This window comes from Homo sapiens, chromosome X (genome assembly GCF_000001405.40).
Source record: "Homo sapiens chromosome X, GRCh38.p14 Primary Assembly".
Taxonomy (NCBI): domain Eukaryota; kingdom Metazoa; phylum Chordata; class Mammalia; order Primates; family Hominidae; genus Homo; species Homo sapiens.
Window position 1 is genome coordinate 1913539 of NC_000023.11, and position 4141 is coordinate 1917679.

General features: G+C 41.5%; 1 annotated feature.

Annotated features, from left to right (window-relative positions):
* Positions 3441 to 3941: an enhancer, noted in NCBI's record as "H3K4me1 hESC enhancer chrX:2035872-2036372 (GRCh37/hg19 assembly coordinates)". NCBI's record gives its function as "activates a minimal SCP1, AML or CMV promoter by ChIP-STARR-seq in naive H9 embryonic stem cells {active_cell/tissue: H9 hESC(naive)}" and the evidence as "EXISTENCE:reporter gene assay evidence [ECO:0000049][PMID:30033119]".

Here is a 4141-nt window from a genome sequence, read left to right on the forward strand (position 1 = left end):
ATGAATAACAAATATATTTAAATATATAAATAATTATAAATATACAAATAAATTAAAATAATTATGAATATATAAAAATATAAACTAAATAATAAGAAATAATTATCAATATATAATACACAGAAACAAAATAAATAAAAATAATTACAAATATATTAAAATATAGAAACTAAATAAAAATAGATATAAAAATATATATGAAAATAAAGATGTGAAAAATATAGAAACTAACTAAATAAAAATAATTATAAGTATATAACAATTTATATAAACAAAATGAATAATTATAAATATATAACAATTTATATAAACAAAATAAATTAAAATATTTATAAATCTATAAAAGTATGGCTGGGCGCGGTGACTCACGCCTGTAATCCTAGCACTTTGGGAGGCCGAGGTGGGCGGATCACGAGGTCAGGAGATCGAGACCATGGTGAAACCCCGTCTCTACTAATAATACAAAAAATTAGTAGGGTGTAGTGGCAGGTGCCTGTAGTCCCAGCTACTCGGGAGGCTGAGGCAGGAGAATGGCGTGAACCCGGGAGGCCGAGCTAGCAGTGAGCCGAGATCGCACCACTGCACTCCAGCCTGGGCGACAGAGTGACACTCCGTCTCAAAAAATAAATAAATAAATAACATAAAATAAAATAAAAATATACATCAACTAAATAAAAATAATTAAAACTATATATAAATTTTTATAAGCTCAATAAATAAAAATATGTATAAATCTATAAATATATATGAACAAAATAAATAAGTAAAAATGATAAATACATAAAAATACATATGAGCTAACTAATATAAATCTATAAAACTATATAAACTAAATAAAAATAATTATAAATATATAAAAATACATATAAGTTGTCATATAAATCTATAAAAATATATAAACAAAATAAATGAAGAAATAAAAACATCATAAATATATGAAATATATGTAAACTAAATAAAAATATTTACAAAGGTATAAAGATGTATAAACATAGTGAATAATAACTGAATAGCAAATAAAAATTGTTTTACTATAAAAAGCCCTCAGAAGGAATGAACCCTGCCAGCACCTTGATCTGGCACCCCTGGCTCCCAGCATTGTCAGAGGAGGAGGATTATAAAACAACCTTCTGGCCCCCAGCGTTGTGAGAAAATGCATTGCTATGGTTCACGTCACCCTGTTGATGTTACTGCGTTGTGGTAGCCCCGGTGAACTCATCCCACAAGTCATGAGTTCCCAGGTCACCTGCTTCCTCTTGTGGGGGTCGAGACGCTGTATCTCCCTGGGCAGAAGCCTTTTATGCTGAAAGGGAGGCCTTTGCATTGGCTGAGCTTGAGCGTGAGAGCTGGAGCTGCTGGGATCTTGAACACTCCTGGGATCTTGAACCTCCGTGGATGGAGGGAGTGTAGCTGAAAGGATCCAGCCGTCTTCCATCGTTAGCAAGTTAAGTCACCGAGGATCTTCCCCAGTTGCCTGCCCCAGTTGAGTTTGTCAGAATCTATTCACAGCATCACACGGGCGTGTAAACCACTGGAAGTCCCTTGCCGCCTGTTATTGCTCTTGTTCTAAGGAGGGGCAGGTGAGGAGGAGGGACCATCCGCAGGTGAGAAATGGGCAGAATATTTGTGGCAGGCATGGTGATTTTTGTCGCCAGCAGACTCTGCCTGGTGGCGGTGCGGGGGACTTGTGAAACATTTGCAATTGTCTTCCAACTGTTTAGAGATTTCTCGAGGAAATTAAAACAGAGGCTGGGCACGGTGGATCACGCCTGTAATCCCAGCACTTTGGGAGGCGGAGGCGGGAGGATCACCTGAGGTTGGGAGTTCGAGACCAGCCTGGCCAAAATGCTGAAACACCATCTCTACCAAAAATTCAAAAATTAGCTGGGTGTGGTGGCAGGTGCCTGTAAGCCCAGCTACCCGGGAGGCTGAAGCAGGAGAATCACTTGAACCTGGGAGGCAGAGGTTGCAGTGAGCCGAGATCGCGCCACTGCACTCCAGCCTGGGGGACAAGAGCAAAACTCTTGTCTCCAAACAAAAACAAAAAAGAAAAAAACAGAACTACTATGTCACCCAGCAATCCCATTCCTGGAGATATTGTCCTATCACAAAGACACATGCACCTATATGTTCATCACAGCACCAGTCACAACAGCAAAGAGGTGGCATCGACACAGGTACCCATCCATGGTGGACTGGATAAAGAAAAGGGGCTATATCTGCACCATAGGGTACTTTGCAGCCATAAGAAAGAATAAAAACATGGCCGGGCATGGTGGCTCACACCTGTAATCCCAGCACTTCGGGAGGCCGATGCGGACGGACCACGAGGTCAGGAGTTCTAGACCAGCCTGGCCAATATGGTGAAACCCCATCTCTACTAAAAATACAAAAATTAGCCAGGTGTGGTGGCACGTGCCTGTAATCTCAGCTACTCGGGAGGCTGAGGCAGGAGAATCACTTGAACCTGAGAGGTGGAGGTTGCAGTAAGCTGAGATCGCACCACTGCACTCCAGCCTGGGTGACAGAGCGAGACTCCATCTCAAAAACAAAACAAACAAACAAAAAAACACATGTCTTTTGTAGCAACACGGATGAAGTCAGAGGCCACAGTCCTAAGTGAACTAAGGGTGGAACAGAAAGCCAAATACTGCATGTTCTCATGTATGAGTGGGATGGAAACCGTGGGCCATCAACATCAAGATGAGGGCATTGCACTGGAGAGTACGAGAGGGAGGAGTAAAGGGGTGAAAAACTCACTAGCACATGCTGTGCTCGGTAGAATAGATGAGAATTAGTCTGTTCTACGAAATAGACGAGAATTAGTCTAGTCTACGAAATAGACTAGAAATAGCCTAGTCTGTTCTACGAAATAGACTAGAAATAGTCTAGTCTACGAAATAGACTAGAAATAGCCTAGTCTGTTCTACGAAATAGACTAGAAATAGTCTGTTCTACGAAATAGACTAGAAATAGCCTAGTCTGTTCTACGAAATAGACTAGAAATAGCCTAGTCTGTTCTACGAAATAGACTAGAAATAGTCTGTTCTCCGAAATAGACTAGAAATAGCCTAGTCTGTTCTACGAAATAGACTAGAAATAGCCTAGTCTGTTCTACGAAATAGACTAGAAATAGCCTAGTCTGTTCTACGAAATAGAGTAGAAATAGCCTAGTCTGTTCTACGAAATAGACTAGAAATAGCCTAGTCTGTTCTACGAAATAGACTAGAAATAGTCTGTTCTACGAAATAGAAGAGAAATAGTCTAGTCTCTTCTACGAAATAGACTAGAAATAGTCTGTTCTACGAAATAGACTAGAAATAGTCTGTTCTACGAAATAGACTAGAAATAGTCTGTTCTACGAAATAGACTAGAAATAGTCTGTTCTACGAAATAGACTAGAAATAGTCTGTTCTACGAAATAGACTAGAAATAGTCTGTTCTATGAAATAGAAGAGAAATAGTCTGTGATATCACCAGAATTTCTTTGTCTCACAGCCACGGAAATCAAGGACTTGGATGCACTAAGAGTGAGGTTACAGGCCGGGCGCGGTGGCTCACACCTGTAATCTTAGCACTTTGGGAGGCTGAGGTGGGCAGATTGTCTGAGCTGAGGAGTTCGAGACCAGTCATGGCAAAACTCCATCTTTACTAAAATACAAAAAACAAAAAAAAATTCGCCAGGCGTGGTGGCATGAGCCTGTAAATCCCAGCTACTCAAGGCGCTGAGGCAGGAGGATCAGTTGAGCCTGGGAGGCAGAGGCGCGGTGGCTCATGCCTATAATCCCAGCACTTTGGGAGGCCGAGGCGGGCGGATCCCCTGAAGTTGGGAGTTCGAGACCATCCTGGCCAATATGGAAAAACCCCGTCTCTGCTAAAAACACAAAACTAGCCAGGCGTGGTGGTGGGTGCCTGTAATCCCAGCTACTCCGCAGGCTGAGGCAGGAGAATCGCTTGAACCCAGGAGGCGGAGGTTGCGATGAGCCGAAATCGCGACCCTGCACTCCAGCCTGGACAACAAGAGCGAGACTCCATCTCAAAAAAATTAAATAAATAAATAAATGAAACAAAAAACCACCTGCGTTTCTAAGGGAGCAGAGTGCAGGCAAAAGAAAAAGAAGGGGGGGGGCCGTACCGCAGT